General features: G+C 40.7%; 1 long non-coding RNA gene across 1 annotated transcript in view; it reads left to right on the forward strand.

Annotated features, from left to right (window-relative positions):
* LOC105370839 (uncharacterized) overlaps positions 1-20,707 on the forward strand; it is an 89,243-nt gene that overhangs the window by 47,832 nt on the left and 20,704 nt on the right. The gene's annotated exons all lie outside the window — the stretch shown is intronic.

A 20,707-nucleotide genomic window follows, 5' to 3' on the forward strand; every position in this document is an offset into this window, starting at 1 on the left:
TTTGAATTAAATAACCTAACTTCTCTGGACCTCAATGTACTCATCTCTAAAACTGGGATACAGTAGTAACACACCTCATGGGCTTGTCAGGAAGATGAAATGATGTAACATATGTGAAAGGGCTTTGTAAATGAGGAATTATTACTGATTATAGGGAAAGGGGAGAAGGATGAAGAAACAGAGGAAAAAGGAGAGAGAAGGAGGAAGGAGAAAAAGGAGGAAGTGCCCAGCATCTGCTGAGGGGACTGGGCAGCCATGCGGGCAGAAGTTCTTTCTCCCACACTCTCAGGTGTACACAAGGAGGATGTTTCTAGCTAAATAAGGCAGACAAGGATTTTGCCAAAATTTTACATCTACCCGATTAGCCCCCTCCCATGTGGTCAGCTTGCTCCTGATTCTCAGGCTCTATGGCTCTTCTGAGACTTGGGCGTCTTAACTTGGGGAAACCACGCTACCTGCCTGTGAGCGTGGAACTAGAGGCTGCAATCTGCCAGGGCTGCCGTCTGCCTCCAGCTTGGAGTCTTTGTGTCCCCTGTGGTTCACTCCCTAGTTGCAGAGAATGCCACTACAAGACTTGGGGTCGTGGGTGGGCAATCCATCCCAGCTATGTGCAGAAATGTTTCCCTTTACCACAATCTCTCAGAGGCCCAGTCAATACTGAACTGGGCCTCCAGGGGGGAATCTGAGTTTGCCAGCGGACAAGGACAGTGCATTGCATCTGCAGGGTACTCGGCATGGAAAAAGATGCAGTGCCATAACAGAGCCTCTGGGGGGGTGGGTGGGAGAGTAACAAGCAAGGCACAGGGTGTGCAGAGAAGGTGGAGGTGGAAAATGAAGGGCCACAGGTGTCAGCCAGGGAACTTCTAGTCTTTATCACGGAGAGTGTGGGAGACCCACGGGGGTGTAAACAGCGGAGGCATGTGGTCCATCTAAAGAGGCCACCCTGGCCATAGAGTAGTAGAGAACAGACCAGAAACTGGGGGCATGCATGGCAGAGAGATCATTATCTAAAAGGCTCATATGGAGGGCATGGACTCCACCCCAGTGTGCCTGACGAGAAAGGCAGATTCAAGAGCTACTTAAAGGCAAAATCAACAAGACTCGAAAACTGGTTTGACACAGGGGAGTGAAACAAAGAACGAAAGCAACAATGAATCTACTGTGGGTGGCTGGATTAATGAACTATGGTTTTACTAAACATTAGTCCATTTCAGTAAAAATAATATCTCCTTAGATTGAAAAGGAGGCTTATTTTTATTATATAAATCTCATTTTATATGCATATGAATTTGGTCTAGCTTGTGGGTTAGGTAATACCTCTTAGTAGATGATGGTCGAGGCTCAGAGAGACTAATGCCTGCCTAAGTTCACATAGACAGCTACAACAAAGAAGAGTCACTGTTCTCCCATTAACCCAGGCTTGACAAATAGGTCCCAAATTGTATGCCAACTCTGATGAATTGGTAATAACTACTGAAGCACAAAGTTTAGACTCTGGTATTGAGTCTGGCCTTGGAAAGCTAGGAACTGTAACAAATTGGCAATGCCTGCCCTGACACCTGGAAAGAAGAATGGCAAGACGACAGCTTTTTGCCAGCCCTGCACCAGAAATAGTGACTCATTAGAAACTGATAGAACAAGATGACAGATTTGATTTGATCCAGCATATGGCTCCTAAAAATATCATTGGATCAAACTTTGGGTCAATTAACAAAATAAATAGCAGAAGATTGTGAAGTGACCAAAACATGCCTAAGTGCCCTTGACCTCAGGTCTTCATTTCACCACTTCCAAATGGGAAGCTCCATTTCTTCCAGATGACTAGAATCTTGTTGCAGTTCTTCAGGTGTCAAAGTGCCCCACACACCACCACACCTTCCCTGAATTTTTGGGCAATGCAACATTATATTCTTGCCCCATTGGAAACCCTTTTCCTGGAAAGCAGAAAAGAAGAGAAGAAAGAACAGGACTGGGTTTGAGAACTTCTACTCTTTATCTATAAAATAGAGATTAATACCCCAATCTCAGTTGTCATATAGCAGGCATTCTATAAATACTTTAATTTTTTTGTTTTCATTATTTTTATTTATATAATAAACTGAAGAGTCAAAGGGTGGGGATATTTTAGACAAGATTTGGACAGGATCTTAAGGTCCTGCCTCTTCCTGCCTCTAATGACAAGTATTTCCAAAATCTGATTTCCGCATGGTTTATTTAAGAGAAAAAGAATCCGCACCTACTTTTACTGCTATTTAATGTTCTAAGTCAAAGATAAAAATAAAAATTGTTCCTAAGTCCAACTGTCATACGCTAAGGCAACTCAATCAACAAAATCGATGATAAAAGTTCTAAGCTGAAATTCCATGAGTCTATGAGCTGGAATTTTTGTTCTCTCAAAGAAGCAAATCCTTCCCTTGAGCAACGTGCAGAAGTAGGAGACTGAGTCTAACAGTGGTTTAGAGTGCACACTTTGGAATCAAACAGACCTGAGTTTGAATTCCAGCTCTGCCATTTACTAGCTATGTGGACTTGAGAAAGATACTCAATTGCTCCCAGCCTCAGCTGTGTGTAAATTGAGCACACTAATACCTACTTCAGAGGGTTTGATCAAACTAAAACGAAATAATGTGTATAAAACCCTTAGCAAAGTGCCTGGCACATAGTAAATGTACTTCCTATTATGTAGATAGATTACAAGTTGCACTTCTTATTATGTAGACAAAGCAATATGAAAATAACATTGAAATGTTTGAACACATTGTCTATATGGTCTTGCCTCCCCAAAGCAGTTGCCTAATTATAACAGTCTGTCTTCCCAGGGTGGAGAATATCAACTATAGACTTCTCGGGAATAAATTCCATCAAGCCAATCTATATATTTGATAATATATATAATAAACCTTAAAGTGATGGGCAGAAATTTGCACTGTGTTGGTGCAAACATCTTGGTATCATGTAATTATCATTAAGGGTGCTTCATAATTGTTTTAAAAATTGTTTTACAGTACCAACATTTTCTGTGTAACACAGTAAATTTAAGTTCTCATTTGACACTGAAAAACCCACTCAGTCACAGGGTTAAGAAACTAATAAAATTACTATTTTTCAAGTCCTTAGTACATATTTAGCATGATTCTAGGCATGGCACAGGCAGAAGAAAAGTATAAAATATAGCTTCTACATATAACTTACGGTTTTACTAAGGAGATGATTGGGTAAAGACAGTCCATTCAAATGCCATAATCAACAGTGCATAGTCAAGGGCCAGCCACCAAGCAGCTGGGAGAGAGAACATTGAGCTAATATTTGGAATAAACCAGGTTTGCCAGTCAATTATCAGAAGTACCTGGTTGGTAAGGAGTCCTGCAGAGAAGAGAAGTTGTTTTCTGACAGCCTTAAGCAGTTGATCATGCCTAAAGACAACATTATCAATGTCCACTAGGCTCTTTATCTTTACTGGCGCCATTTTTACAGACTTTTTTTTTATGGGAGGAAATATTTATTCTCATATAGAACCCCATTATAAAAACTTTCAGAAACCCCTTTCCTCCCACTATTGCAGTCACCACACAAAAAAGGAAAAAAATTGCAGATCTGGGATTCTTTTAAATTAATGTTGATTTCTACTGCTCAGTAGTACCATATGTGGAATTCTTGTTACAACTTGCACCAACTTTTTCTTGAGAGTCGAGTCTATTGCTCAACTCCTAAGTAGGCAGCGTTTTCCCTTACCCCACCTCCATTCAGCTCTCACAAAATCCATTAGACAACTTTCTGCCTCAGAACAAAAGGGCTTCCAGGATGTTTCACACGCTCTTCTTTGTGGGTTTGAAATTACACACAGCAGTGCCAAAGGTAAGGCATTTCTACAGGTTTTCTTTTTTTTTAACCTTTTCTATTTTTTTATTACAGTTCTGGGTGTTTTGTTGTTTTTGTTTTTCTCTTTTTTTTCCCCCCAACTCCCTCTGCCTCTTGTGGTATATATCTGTGGCCTACAGCAATTACTTTAGACTTTTTAGACACGTCCGGATAGAGATAGATGACACAAGTGATCTACTTATCTTCCTTTCCCATCACCAATAAAAGTGACAGCCCGCCTAATTAGGCCTAATAAAGCAGCCGCAGAAAGAGTGGCGCAGCAGCGATCTAAAGCGAGATGGCATTGACCCGAAGATACAGGTGCTGCCTTAAGGCGTTTGCTGCTATTACTCTCTCTCCAATACATTACATCTCTGCTCATGCCATATTCAAATGCAAGTAGCATGTTTTTCTCCTCAATTCTTAGATCAAGAACAAAAAAAAATCCTATCTAATCAAAAAAGGCACTGACAATTTTTCAGCCCCACATTAAAAGCAAAGAGTCATTCAGAACAGTGCACTCCATATTCTATTTTATAATATCACTTTAAGCTATTGCTTTGAATCTCAGACATTTCTTTGTTAAGAAGGAAAATCAAAAATTCATCAGAAGAAGTTCTTTCTTCCCCCCTCTCTTTTTTTTTTCTTCCAGGGCTAGCATGGGGTTTGGAGCTGGAACCAACATTTGTAGAAGTTAGGGGTCCTTAAGCAATTATTAGCGATGAGAGCTTGACACGCTTGAGAGTTGTCAACAACTGACTTTAAACAAAGTGGAAGGAAAGAGAAATAAATGGTGCTCTCAGCAAAATTAATATACAGGCCTGCAAATTAATGATGTCGTGTATTTTTTAAACAAGGGGAAAAAATCTGAACTTTGCATGAAACAGCATTTTAAGTACATCTTTGCAAAAATTATCAGATTGTCAAAGGGCATGAAAGCAAATTGAGTCTGCAACTATTCATAATATTTCCACATATGCTAAATACAAAATTTATCTTACTTTATTCACCTGTTCTGTAGCAATTATTTAAAGCTATTAGAAAGGGGGACATGTCCTTGATCTGAAGTGCCAGTGACTGCTCCACAGCATTTATTATAAGAAACATAACCTTCCCAGCCTTGCCTGCATACACACACACACACACACACACACACACACACAAATATGCATTCTTCTCTGCTTACTACTGACTAAATTCTACTTAGCCCTGTGCATCCTATCTCACATTTTTTAAACTTATTTCTGCAAATAATCCCTCCATTCACATTGTTTTAATTGCTGCCTGTATCCAAATAAGTTTCTAAGATATTACTTCTAACCCTCTTCTTCTGTGTCCAAAATGAAGCCCATTATCTTCTTCTCACCCTTGCCCAATCTGGGCCCTCTTAAAACATTCCTCCTCTGCAATGTTCCCCCATGACTAAGAGTAGTTACAGTTCCCTTGCTGAGAACCATTAATCCATCTCAACTTCCTCTCTCTCTCTGTTGGTCTTTCCAGAATGAGAATGATTTGCATAGTAGTCATAGCTATCATCTATGGAAGACCTCCCTGGTGTTACACATGATAACATGTATGTCGCGTACAGTAGTTAAGTGCCCTAACAATATTGAATAGGCCATTTTTTGGTCCACATGTTTTAACCAGTAAGGGAACTTTAAGAAGTAATTTGCGCAAGGCTACATAGCCAGTAAGTGGCAGAATTGGAATTTGTGCTTGCTGGCTATTGTAACAAATCTGTAAATAATAAAAATTTTAAAAGAGCAGGGCTTTGGAATTAGTGAACAAGTTGTCTCATTTCATCATGTGCATCCTCACAATTATAATTATGTCCCCTAACCACTTCTCCTTGAATAATGGAATAAGTCATTCGCTGAGTTTTCCCTCTCTGGTACCCACCCTAATCCATCATGTCAGAAGACCAATCCCCATTTCCTTCCACACAAAATTTCCGGCTCTGCCCTCTATCATCTAGGTCATACTGGGAGACTTACCTACCTTCCCTGAGTCACAGTTTCCTCTTACTGCCACTTACTGTCTGACTTCACCTTTATGAGTCTCAGGGTTGCCCTTGGAAAAATGGAGGTGATAATGATACCTGCCTCTTAAAAGGCTATTGAGAAGATTTAGTGAGATAATGTTTCTGAAATTCATAGCAGTGCCTGTCACATAGTAAGTGTTCAACAATATAAACTACTGTTATTAACAGCTGAATAACAGTTCAAGATAAAGGAGCCAGCACGCAATGGGGATGGACTTCAGTTTCACATAAAACAGAAATGGCAACAACATTGGGATTATCAATCTTATTGCTTTATTTGTGCCATCTTATATAAGACCGATAGGAGAATTTCTATTCCTTATCGTGAGAACTGGTTTATCTCACATTCTAACAGTAGGAAATTCTATCTACGATATTTCCGAATTTACCAGAATTCATATCCATAATGATAGCTTCGTGCCTTAGAAAATTCTGATGTGCCTGATTCTGAACAGAATTTCCTACAGTATATCTTGATGTAATCTTATTATTTGTGAATTGGCCATACATTTTGGTATAAAAATAATGAGAACCCCATTCCCTGATCATTCACCATAACTCAGTTCACCACCTTATGGAGCTAACACAAGACCAAATGGTTTAAACTTTCAGCGTTAGTTGATAACTATTCTAATATGAATTGGTTCATCAGCTCTCATTTCTTTCTACTAAAAGATCCTGAGGAAGACGGAAAGCCAAGATTGGGTATATAGAATACAATAAAACTTTGTTTTACTTGGGATGATGATGTTGTTTCAGGTGGTCCATTCCCAAAATATATTCATTCATAAACCCCAGATTAGACAATGGTGGCCACTCAGTCCTTCTTAATAGCAATGAATGGAAATGGGTTTTACCAAAAGATTTCAACATTTTCTTGCTTCCACATAAAGACCTTTTGATGTATTTTCTAACATTTCACAACTAGATTAAAACATAACAAGTAAGGGGTCTGTTGTCTCTCCTAAGTCCTTCTCCATTAAGAAACAATATATATATATATAAAAGAAATGTCAGGCTACACAACAAAGGGACCCCTTACATGAATGCACAAAGCTGTGCATGTTCTCTCATACACTCATGGTAGCTAATGCTGTGCACACAAGGGGGCTCTGTAAAAGTGATCCAGTGGGCCAGGCATAGTAGCTCATGCCTGTAATCCCAGCAGTTCGGGAGGCCGAGGTAGGAGGATCACCTGAGATCAGAAGTTTGAGACCAGCCTGGCCAACATGGCAATTACCCCGTTGCTACTAAAAATACAAAAATTAGCCTGGTGTGGTGGCACATGCCTGTAATCCCAGCTACTCAGGAAGCTGAGGCAGGAGAGAATTGCTTGAACCTGGGAAGCAGAAGTTGCAGTAAGCCAAGATTGTGCCACTGCACTCCAACCTGGGCAACAGAGTGAGACTCTGTTTCAAAAAAAAAAAAAACAAAAAGTGGTCAAATTACAAAAATAGTAGATTGTGTAACAAAAGCAGCACACACTAAAATGATAATTCTCATATTCACAAAAGCAGAGGCAGGCCTTCTCTTGTGACTATTAGAAGTCCTGTATGGATAAATGCTAGGTCAATATCAGAACTGTTTTCCCATCTGTTTTGCCAACCACTCCCTGCTATTGGTTTAGCATGTTTTCAATACCTCAGTGACTCAAAGGTCCAATGTTTCCTTCCCAGGTATATTTCCAGCCTCCATAGTAAAGTTTTTAAGCTCACATGTCTCATGAGGAGTTTAATAAATTCATTGTTTTGTTTAGTCTGATTATCTTAGCCAGAAGCAACTAGGGAGCTGTATTAGTATTTGGTTTATTTCAAAATTAGTGGGCATGCTTTGCATTTTGAAAATCCCTATGTGATAATTCTTAGGAAGAGCCCTTCTGGCCACTCAGAGGCTTATCTGCAAATGGGTGGGTGTCCTCCTATACCCTTGGCTACTAGAGCAATGGCCTGACCCACAGTTATGTTAAATACATGACCAATCTTTTTGAAGGACTGTGTACAGTAAATAGTACTGCCTTTCTTTTCTCCATAATTCACTGGCATCTGTTGTAATTGGCAACTGGCTTTTGCATTTCCCCCTTTGGCTTTCTGCTGTGTTTTGAATACACCTATTTAAGTAACAGATCAGCAAACTAAATGCAAAGAAATACTCTTGCTCAAAACACTTATGGACGTTGCTGATTCAGCATGGCTCAGTATTAACTGGTAATAAACTAAAGCTCTTAACCCTCAACAAAATTAAATACAGTTCATGTGCTTTTCTCTATAGGCCTGTATCTGTCCTTCCAAGGAAGGAACACCTAAACACACACACACACACCCATACACACACACACACACACACACACACAGAGAGAGAGCAATTACATTTTTCATCATCCCTTTTCAGTTAAAGAGAAATAATAAAAGCTATTACATGAAAACAAAACAAAAACAACCTCACCTGTAAAGCAGCACAAGATATTCCATAGTAAGACTGAGTCTTTCCCAATGATGAAGGCCATGTGTTCAGAAATCCCAAGTTCCAGAGCTATCAGTGAGCTCCAGAGCAAAATCAGAAACAGGCAGTCGTGGGGTTTAATCACAAAATCATCAAGCGATTTCACATCGAGAACATCTCACATATCACAAAAGCAGGTTCCATCCAGCCTGTCATGCCTCCCTCCTTCCAACACTGACATCACTTCTTGCCAGAGGGGAAAAAAATTGCTTTTTAAATATTGACTTTCTCAGTCACTGCCAAGGCCAACCAGTCAGCCGTGAACCACATTTGTTGCTGCCATCTTATACAGATCTTGAGCACTGCTGCTTGCCAAGAAGCATCTCCAGGGCAATGGCAAAGCCGCAATAACTATCCCGAGCTGAGATTCCAGCCATTGAGCCAGGAATGCAGGGGATAATTCCCGTACTTCAGATTAGGAGTCAGCATTCAACCTCCTAGTGACACCCCTAATGACCCTCAACCCTCTGCATTCTGGGTCCTTACTTTTCACTGCAAGTCTCCTGATCCAACCTTCCTATGGAGCTAGTAATAATCACTAGCATTTATTTAACAGTTACTACAGTATGTGCCAGGCACTGTTCTAAATTATTTTAAATTTATTACTACTACCACCACTACTAATAGTAATAGCTAACACTTGTAGAGCATGTAGTATTTGTCAGGCACTGTTTCAAGAATTTTACATATTCAATCCTCACAACACACCTAGGAGATAGGTACCATTATTATACCTGTTTTATAGAAGAGGAAACTGCAGCAGAGCGCTTACCTGAGGATACATCTAGCATGTGGAGGAGCTGAACTTCCAACACAAGCTGCCCGACTCTAGAGCCTGCTGTCTATACATCCTCTCTATAGGAGAGGCACGCCTTTAACAAGTAATCATAATTCCAGGTTCCTTTAGAGAGGGACCTCAGAAGAAGTTTCTGAGATCTGGGCCAGATCTGGTCTCCACTTCCTGGAGAAAGTGATTATTAAGTTTTGAAGAACCAGAAGGAATAAGCCAGGGAGCAAAGAAAAAGTTTCCTAACGTGTCTGTGCAGACACAGACCCAGTGGGGAGATGGGTGAGGGTGTGTAGAGAAGGCTTTACTCAGAAGATTTCAGGGAGCTCTATAAAGTTAGAGCAGAGGATGCAGAGGGAAAGGACTGAGAGATAACAGTGAAGGGATCCTGAAGCCAGTCCATGAGGGGCCTTGATTATTCTAAAGAGTTAGATTGTGCCCTGAGAGTAAAGGCGAGCTTTTAAAGGACATGAAGCCAAAAGACTGTCTGTCATACATGAATTTCCTTTCCAGAAGTACCCCTCAGCAGCCCTGTAGTCATCCCATTACACACAAAGAAAGACTAGTTAGGAAGCTATGAGCATAATCTAGATGAGAAATTATGAGAGTCTGAACTAACACAATGGCAATCATTATAAGCATAGGAGAAAATACCCACTGTTGAACATTTTGATATTAATGAAGAATGCTTGTCTAGAAATGGGATCCTCAAAGTTATTTCCCCTAGAGGACTTGACTATAGTCGACCTATTCTCCACAGACATCCTAGGTGTAGCACCATACCTTGTAATCAAACATGAATGAGCTCACCCTTTCAAGTTGAATTCAAGTATGCCAGAACTCATTTTCATTGCATAATAAAATATTTAATTAGCCAAAATATTAAAAGCCCGGGTCTAATTAAAAAATCTTTCCCATCATCATCCTCCTCCCTTTTTACATTAAGCCATTTTACCATAGTAACTTAAAGAACATCTCTACTATGTCTTCCCTTGGGCCGTGATTCCTAAAGTAACGTCCATAACCCACCAGGAACCCACAGGTTAGCTCGCCTCTTGTAACATATGTGCAGGTAACTGACACCACACCTGGCTCACAATAGATGCTCAAAAAGCTTTATGTTAAAAAAAATCGATGAGTTTGTGAAACCTATGATTTGAACTCGGGCACAAACAATTTTCATTTAATATTTCACAATTGTATGTCTTATCACATTCTCATGAAACTCTATGCCATTTTGCTTTTTTTCCTCTGGCAAAGTCTCTTATGGGATATCTTGCTATAAAAACAGTGGTGTAGGTGATTATATGGATTATCATCCATTGACCAAAACAGTTTGAGAATCACTGCCAAGGGACTTATGGAGACTTATGGAGATTTCACAGAAACCACTCCTAGTTAGCTTTATAATCACAAGGAGCTGAACCGGGAGTCATCTAAAACAGTAGCTAACTAAAAAATATTCTATGGCTCACTAGGATTTTAGAGCTGGAGGGAACCAGCACCCAAAAGAGAAGTGATTACGTGAAAGTCACATAACCAATCAGTGCCAAGTTCAGACCAGGACGTATGACTCTTAATTCCTAGATCTGTATTCTTTTCACTAACCCATGCTGCTGCTTGCTCATTTAGTTTTCAAATATTACTAAAATATACTTGAAGTTTAATGGTCTACAAGCCAAAGATGAGCATGTAATGTTAAGATGGAAAACAAGCTTCAGAAATCCTAGTGTTTAGTCCTAATGTGCCACTTGCTAGTTGGGCAGTTGCTTAATTTCTTTGAATCTCAGCTTTCTTGTTAGGCAATGGCAGTAAACTCACCAGTCCTCCTTCTCACTATCCATGAAGATCAGCAGTTCCTTCTCCACGACTGCTCCCCCTCTTCTTAGAAGCCTATTTATGGCATCTTGGTCTCAAGGGCCTGTTTCCACCTCAACCTACTACCTGGTTTCCTCTTCTTTCATAACCAAAACGAATCACAGTCATAGCCACCACACACTCTGGATCAGAAGTGGCCCCACCAGTTGTTAGCTGTGTGACTTGTGTCAAGTCACTGAATCCCTCCAAGCCTTGATTTTCTCATGTGTAAAATGGAGCTATTATTAGTTCCCATTTCCAGATTGCTGCAAGACTTAAATGAGATATTTGAAGTAAAGCACCATGAGTATTCATTCAACAAATATTTATTCAGCACCTGTTATTCACCAGTGAACCCAAAGTGATTCAAGCTCTCGTTCTCCACAAGGCCTGGGTGTTTCACCTCTGAGAGTTTTCCTGCATCTTCTTATTTCACTTTGGAGGCTCACAATAAAGCCTGTTACTTTGAGGTCAACAGAGCATGTCTCTTTGCCTTAAAACTTGCAGAAGCAAAGCACGATAACATTGGTAAAACTACCACAAAAACTTTAAAAACACAATTGGAAGGGATTTTTATGAGTACTTCCAAGCATAAGGAAAGATTTGGCAAGTGAAGCCCAACATTGCCTTTCCTTCCTTGAGAAGCTGGAAACTGAGGAACTGGAAATCTTCCTCAGGTGTCTCACTAAGAAACCCAGGTGCTATCCCAGTCAATTATTTGTACTTCCTTGAGAACAAATTTGAATTTGCAATCTGTTGGGAATGAAGTCTGTCTCAGTGGAGTTTCTTAACACTCTTTGGATCTGTCTTCTCACACTTACCTTTTCCCATTTTGTGCTGTTTTTATACATATCTCATCACTCTCAGGAGGCTATAAGCCCCTGGAAGGCAAGATTAGTGGGTGGTTACCCATGATATCATGTTTCTCCTTCCAGAAACCCAGCCTTGTGCCTGACACAGAGTAGACCCTCAATAAGGTTTATTGCTAACTGTTGAAACAGATACTGGGAGTGATTCAAGGGGCTAAGCCCTCCAGAGAGCAGTGCATTTTGGTGGCCATTCCTTCTGCAATACTCTCTACATTTTTCTTTTAAGTCCACCCGTGTGCTTTATAAGTAAATAGAAAATGCTAACCTTAGCATATTCAAAAGAACGTTTAAGCATGCAGCAATTAGGTTATCTCTTGGTTATTTATTTCTTCGGCTTGTTATTAGCTGTGTGCAGAATATTATTCTAATTATGTCAGCCCAATCAGCAGTATTGCATGTCCAGGCTCATTTCCATTAGTTTGAGCTTTGTCTTTCACACTGTGATACTAATTCAATGAGACATCAAACATTTAAATCGACCCGGGATGCCGAGGTCAGGCAGTTTTGCCCTTCCACTCTATTAGCACTCGGGTGTAAATGTGTTTGTCACTCCCCACATGACGAATAGTATCAGGGTGACTACTGAAGCACAAATGAGCAATGCACTATTATTTTGTTCTATAATATCAATATGTGTTTATTCAGTGCTCATGTTAGCCAACTGGAAACAGTCATTTTAATACAGTCATACAAAGTGCTCTATTCTCACCGAAGCATTTCTTTAGAACATTTGCTGGACTTGCAATGCAATTGGGCCAAAGGGAGGAAAATAAAAATGGTTGCTGGAGGTAGAAGGAACCATGAAGTTCTTAAAAATCAGAGCTTCCAGTCACACCAGCAAGAACTTAGAAACCACAAAAACAAAAGGTAGAATGCAACTACCAGCTTTTCTGTGCGCTTTGTAAAACTCTTCGACTCTCTGGTTAACAGTTTAAAAATCAAGGTGCAACATATAGTATTTAAACAAATATAAATCTACCTTGCAGTTAGCTGAAGTTTCTCCTTCTGACTCTTTTTGAGAGCAAATAAATTGGTAAGCAGAAACAATAAAAGATTTTGGGTGTTTTTCCCTCAGTTTGTTTGCTTGATTTTGTTTCCTCAATAGCGTAGATACACGACAATAAATTTTACCCGAGGTTTCAACAAACCCCATCTCTGCTACTGTCATATGATTTACCCTCGTTATTATAAGACTTAAATCTGAATATTAGTATAATAGAGTGTTACCCGTAGTCTTTTAGTTTCTTATTTCACATTTTAACATCTAAAAAATCACTACAAAAACTGATTCAGTGAGAAGCCTAAGCTAAGATGGTGTACTCTCATAAGTAGGCACTGTCGGTTCTAATGGGAATTCTATTTCTGGGTCTCATTGCCTTTTCACAATTTCCATAGCACAGGCTTTGTGATTCCCATGGTGCACACGAAAAACTCACCCTAGAGAAGTAGATGTTCTAGCTCAAGATTCCACAGCTCGTCAATAATGAAGCCAGAACCAGAGTCTGGGTTTCTAGATTGCTGCATGGTCATGACCTGCTCCAAAACCTCAAACTACCCACCCACATCTTTAAACTGCTGGCCCAGAGTGTGGGTCACTCCTACTGTGGTATCATTCCTTATCCAGGCTCTACTTCAATCTTGGCTCCCAGAACATTCCATATAGCCTGTGCTTGGCAATCTGCCCAGGTTGTCTTATCTATTTTCTCCAAATCATAAACTCCTCAACTAATGCTTGCATGTGCAAAGATATGCATTGGAAGAAAGTAGGAGGATAAATCATCCCTAACCACTGCCAACAGGTTCAACGAATTAAACCAATGTATGTTAATTGAAAAATCGTTCTTTATAAATATAGATAAACTTTAAAAGACACGATTAAGTACTTTTTAATAGCTTTAAAAAAATCGCCTTTACTTTAAATGACCTTTAGATGTATTTTTTGTTCTATTGATTTTACTATTTTAACTGCAGATACATCTTTTAATTTACTCCAAGGGAATTAACCGACAACCTTCCATTTTCTGTTTGGGTCTCATTTTAAATGCCAGAACTACCCCTAATGTAGCTATCATCAAAACTTAAAACTCCACAGTTTAAGAAACAAAGTTCTGACAACTGGTTCCACTGTGGGGGGAAATGGAACTTTTTATTCTGATACTATAATTAGACCAAGAAACTGAAAGCACACTCCAAAATAAGAATTTGCTGCTATGACTAGTCAATGTCATTTATGCTCAGGGAAGAGAGAGAGGTGTAATAAACTTTGACAACTTATTTGCAACATTTTATATTTAACATCATTATATCTACATTTTGAAAGCAGCACATCAGACTTTTGTTCTCTAAAATCGAAGCTGAGCAGAATTGCAAGTAGAAATAAGTGACCAACTCCAAAGCTGAGGACCAGCCCCTGTGATGTGGATGTAACCCTTTGAGAGCACAGCATTCTGGAAAGATGACAGGCACGATGTAGGGAAGCCAGAGATCACCTCCAATCCTCCTTTCAGCTCTTGGTGGGATATTCAGCTGGATCTGAATACTGACACTAGGAAGATGAATGAACAAGAGAGAAGTACACACATTTCATTCATGTTGCATGTCCATGGGGATCTGCATAAGAGAGTAAAGTCTGAAGAAGTGACCAAAGCAAGATGGAGACAAAGAGCAATAAATTTGAGGAAAAAATGGCAAGGCAAAAAAAAAAAAAAAAAGAAAAGAAAATCTGGCTAAGGATAGCAAATTTTCTAGGGGAATCACTAGGAGATATAGCAGGGGTGAAATAGGTGGAAGATAGCGTTGCTTCAGGAAGTATGTTAATTCAGGGTCCATTGCAGCCTCCAATCACCAGTCTGTGGGTAATAGGAATATTTTCTCACCATGGTATAGTGAGGACTCCCCTCCTAGAGGAATCTTTGTCCCTTGCTGCATGCAGGAAGAGACAGCTCAGCTCACCCTCTCTGAAACAATTTCTCCAATGTTTTCAACTTGAAATAATCAATATACTAATCTGGCATATTTGGGATGGCACATCCTTCACTCCTTCAGTGGTAAATAAACCACTGGATGAAATCAGGGCTGGCAACCTTCTGAAAGGGGTGTACTGAAGAGCCGACTCCTCTCCTCTCCCTCTGGCATGCTGTTCCCTTGCCAACCACATCTTTGCGAAGTAGAAGAGGCCTATATCCACCTGCCAATTGTCACGTGGGAAGGGCCACTGACCCTCATGGGCATGGTGGCCCAGCCACCCAAGTGTGTGTTGAAGAGCCATGGCTTATGCACCATCTCAGGCAGTGACCAGACAGGCTCACTCTCACCAACTCTGCAACCATCGATCAAAGAAGTGGGATTCATCAGGTATCCTCCAAGATAATTCTGATGACATAAGAAGTATTGGTAGAATAAAATAATGAGACCAAAAGAAAGAGAAAAGGTTAACAGACCAGACACCAGAGAAATTAATGATTATGTTCTTCCCTTTCTTCCCCTCCTATTAAGAAAAAAAAAATTTAAAAACCAGATAGGGGAAATAGTGAGCAAATTTTCTAATTGGGAGTGGAGATGAGGAAGTGGGGGAGACATGGAATCATCATAGCAGACTAGGAAAGAAAGGGAAGAAAAAGAGAAACCATATTTAATGTAATGTGCAGAAGTAGCCATTTATTTACACACCCTTTCCATTTAGAAAAGATGTGTTTCGGCCTCTGGCTGAATGTACATACTAATTAGTGCTAATGAATATAAATGATACTCACAACTCAACCTGTTTACAAAGTCCCCCCATGTCATTCAGGGAAGAATTGAGTTTGGAAATGAGATATGTGTTGTGTTCTTGGGCTTGACGATGACCTAGAGGTTACCGAAGCTAAGGACAATGAAATCAATTAGCAATTAACAAGGCAAGAAAGAGTCAAACCCACAAAATTCAGTACCTCCAGCGGTAGGCACTGTTACAGAGGAAGACACACTCTTCCCATAGGGTAACATGTTTAGCTCGGCACAACCAGCAGCTGTTGAGGGTGGGAGTTCAGGGAACAACTTTAAAATCATGAGAGGTCTACCGGAAAAAAAAAAAAAAAAGTAAAATAAGATGAAAAGAAGTATGCTTTATTAAGCTTAGGGAGACATTACCCTACAGGAAAAGGAATAAACTACAGGGCTGTTTGGTGTTCATATGCCAAGCTGAAGAAGTATCACCCATACTGAGGTCATATCACTCTTCAGAGAGGGCGTGGAAGCTCTGCACCCTGCCGCCCCAGCCCCCATGCATCTCTTCCATTTGGCTGCCCCTGAGTCATTGCCTTTATAAGAAACTAGCAATAGTAAGTAAAATACATTTCTGGAGTTTTCTGAATTGTTCTAGCAAGTTATCAAACTTGAGAAGGGGGGCCTGAGAAGTCTCAAAAGTGCAGTGGCTCGGCAGAGGTGTGGTAGCCTGGACACCTCATTTTCAGCTGACATCTGACATGGGGGCGTCTTCCGGAACTAAGCCCTTAACCTGTGGGGTCTGCATTAACTCCAGGAGTTAGTGTCAAAAATGAACTGAATTCCTGAACACCCAGTTGGTGTCAGATAGTTGGAGAAATATCAAGGGGCCATGTAGTACAAAGGAAAGCAGCTTTATATAAGCTCAATAAATGTACCGAGAATTTTACAAGACAAAAATGAGCTGGATTAGAAATGAAAAGATGATAACTGGTATGCTCTGTTTAATAAGATAAGAAAGAAAAAGTGCAACATGTTAATAAGATCTCTGTTTTTAGTTCTGTGAAATAAAATGTGAGGTTTTCAAAAGGCAAGCCTCAGATATTTGGAAAATTCACTTACGGGATGCCTCATTACCCGGTGGGCCCAGGATCCGATGCCTGGTGTTCCGACATTCTTGGAAAACATTACTCCCTTACCATTAGATGCAGCTCCTGCCTTTGAAGACATTGCAGTATAGTATATTTTACAAGTGCCAGAGTCCTAAAAGAGCAGCGACTTTCTCCATCTGCAGAGGCAAAACCTGAGCCGAGGCAAGGAAAGTGACTTTCTCAAGGTCTCACAATAATCAGGGGCAGAGACAGGCCCCACCGACAGCCCCTGATTCTAGGCCTCCTGTTGTTTCTGGGAAATTAAGCCCAGTCCCAGAGAATAATAATAAATTTGGCCCCTGCAAACTGCCTGTCTACCTAGCTCACCCTTGTGAATAGAGGAGAAAAGCCAAGACCGTTGGCAAAAAGGACCTAGGGAATTTGGGAGTGTGCCTAATAAGAGGAAGCTGAACTCACCTTGCTTGCTAGATCCCACAGCCCTCTCTTTCACTAAAACCATGCCTGCCTCATCCAGGAAGCCCACCAGGCTAGTTTCACCTACTTCTGACCACTCACAGCATCCCAATTCTTCCACCGACTAGCCAGGTGATATTTCCCTGATAACTCTAGCCTCAGTCTCCTCATCAGAAAAATCAAGATACTAAGACCTACTTCCTTGGATAGTTGTGAAGATTTAATGAGATAATGTGTATAAAGGGGCCACCCACAACATCTGGCAAAAAGTAAGTACTTAAAGGAAGGTCTTCACACATTATTACAACAGTAACCTCGAGGCCTTGAGCAAATAACTCTCAGCCAGCCAAGTTGCTGGGTGGCTCTCTGTGGTCACTTTAGTATATATTGCATTTAATTTTGTGACTTTGGTGCCACGGCAGCCTTACCCACCATGAGCTCCTGGAATTCAGGGCTGATGCATACACATGCATACATGTGCTCGCCTCTTTTGCCTCCCTTCTCTTCCTAGATTGGAATCTTCTTCAGAACAGGGACATCTGTGGTCTCTCAGGAGTGTGGTTGGCACAGACCAGCTCCCCTGCAGCTGACTATGTCTGAGCTGATAAATAGTAACTAACACTTTAAAGGTTGTTAGAATCGTTTAAAGGCAATTTCACATATAGAATTTCATTTGATCCCTGCAATTACCCTGGAAGGTGAGCAGGACACTTATTTTTATCCCCATCTTAGAGGAGAAAACAGTGGCTCAGAGAGGTAAAATGACTTGCCTCTCACCTCAAGTGGAGCTGATCCATTTTTGGAATCAATAGCATCCTTGTCTGGTTCATCAGCTTTCAACAGAGGATATCAATCCTTCCCCCAGATGACCATTAAAACATGAACATTGCTGTACAGTGTCCACTCAATGAAGACTCGCTGAACACATTTTTCTATGATTTTAGCATCTACGGCTTTTGTGTCTCCCTAAAGCAACTTGTTTTTAACTTATTGAAAGTGAACATCTATCCAACACAGGTCAGTAAGCTATGGTCAAATCTGGCCCATAACTTGTTTTTGTATGGTCCACAAGCTAAGAATTTTAAAGAGCTGTGAAGAACAAAATAAAGCAAAACAAGCAAAATAGAAAATGCAGTGGAGATGGATGTGGCCTGCAAAGCCTAAATTATCTATGGACCGAGTGCAGTGGCTCACGCCTATAATCCTAGCACTTTGGGAGGCCGAGGTGGGTGGACTGCCTGAGCTCAGGAGTTCGAGACAAGCCTGGGCAACATAATGAAACCCCATCTCTACTAAAAATACAAAAGAAATTAGCCGGGTGTGGTGGCGGGCACCTGTAATCCCAGCTACTCGAGAGGCTGAGGCAGGAGAATTGCTTGAACTCTGGAGGCGGAGGTTGCAGTGAGCTGAGATCGCACCACTGCACTCCAGCACTCTAGCCTGGGTGACAGAGCAAGACTCTGTCTCTACAAAAAATAAATAAATAAATAAATAAATAAATAAATAAATCTACGATCTGGTCTATTAAAGAAAAGGTTTACTGGTGCCTGATTTAGACTGTGGTTCCCTTTTGCATTGTCAGCTCAGAAGCTGACAGCCCAGCATGGGACCCTTCTTCAGCAACTGGATAGGACTTCATGCAGTGTATTTCAGGAACCCCACTCTAAGCTCCGTTTTGCTTTCAAAATAAAAATTTGGCTGGGTGCAGTGGCTCACGCCTGTAATCCCAATACTTTGTGAAGCCAAGGCAGGTGGATCATTTGAGGTCAGGAGTTCCAGACCAGCTTGGTCAACATGGTGAGACCCTGTCTCTACTAAAACTACAAAAATTAGCTGGGCGTGGTGGTGCATGCCTGTAATCCCAGCTACTTAGGAGGCTGAGGTAGGAGAATCGCTTGAACCTGGGAGGCAGAGGTTGCAATGAGCCGAAATTGTACCATCGCACTCCTGCCTGGGCAACAGAGGGAGACTGTCTCAGGAAAAAAAAAAAAAAAAAAAAAGAAATAAATATTTGATGTGACTCTTTTGATGCTGAAGAAATTGGGACTACCACTGATGATCCTAAAATACAGACTATTAAATACTCTGGTTCCTTTATTACCAAGCAGTATGTGTAACTGACATCCACACTTTATCCTTTATCCAAATGTCCTTGAACCTTTTCCCTTTCATGATTCTTTCTTAAGGTTGCCTCCAAGTGTCCTAACTAATGTTTCCTTCAATTTTTAAACTTATTTTTACTGTTTTGTCTTGCATGGTAATAGTTTATCTTGCACCATAGTCATTTTTGAAAATTATTAAATCTTTTTGGGAACAAGAATTTGCAGACCATGCATTAAATAACTTCCTTAATGTTATCTAGGTACACTAAGCTGGCTTGAACCCAATTCACCTTATTCCACATCCAGGGCTTTCCCCCGCCAGACACTATGCCTAAAAGTCAAAATTCATGTTTCTAAATGGAAACAGTTGTAGGTGAAACCCTGTGACTTTGTGATGCCCCCCAGCTGTATCCCACTCTCCCAGAAGGACCATCCTGAAGTAGCCACTTGGGCTTTCTCTTATGTTACCATAGGAGGCATACACACAGATCAGGAATACTCCTGATTGTTTTGAATCCAGCTACCTACCATTCCAAAGGAAGAGGTGTGGGCCAAAAATCCTGTCCCAATAATATAGAAGGAATCACTGGGAATCATGTGGGACCAAATGGCAGGGTTTGGGTCCTGCCCTCCCCAACCATCAGTTACGTGACTTTGAACCAGTTGTCTACTCTCTCTGAATCTGTTTCTGTATCTGTAGAAGGGGGCCCATACCTGACTTAATATCCTCCTGGAGTTGTCAGGAATTGCACAGGCAAGAGTGAATAATAAAACACCTAGCAACTTTTAGAAGCCCTGTACAATTCTAAGATTATTACAGTGGCAGCTCTTCTACAAACCAGGCTAAGAGGCTCGGAGTTCATCAGTCCCCTCCCTACCCCCACCATCAGCTCAACTGCTCTAAGAATTTGGGCAAACAGATTTTTGGGGGAAAGCAAGGGAGTTTCGCTTTTTCCGTCACTTAGTCCCATAAGCTACATGGCCCTCCAGAGGCTAGAAGGACCCCTTATTTACAGAGGAAACAGAAGACAATGCATGCACCCCCAATAGGCTTTAAATGACACTCTATACACTTCCATGGAGAATCTTCAACTTAAAAAATCAATGGCAAAAGAACCCTAACCCATGCTGCCAATTAGACGAGACGGAGGAGTCTGGAATACAAAGCAACAGTGACCCCAGTCTGGCTCCAGGGAATGGCTAGGCTAACCCTACGCATTACCCACTTCAAATTTTCATGATTCTGTCATGCATATATTATACAACCCCACACAGAATAAACATATTATTTTCGTGTTTTATTTTCCCTCCCCAAGATGAGTAATTAAGCCCCTGTGTATTGCATCTATTCACTTGAGAACATGCTTTTCATTTGACAGATCAGAAGATTAAGCATATATTTTTCCTCTTCTTTCAAACCAGCCACT

Source organism: Homo sapiens, chromosome 15 (genome assembly GCF_000001405.40).
Source record: "Homo sapiens chromosome 15, GRCh38.p14 Primary Assembly".
Taxonomy (NCBI): domain Eukaryota; kingdom Metazoa; phylum Chordata; class Mammalia; order Primates; family Hominidae; genus Homo; species Homo sapiens.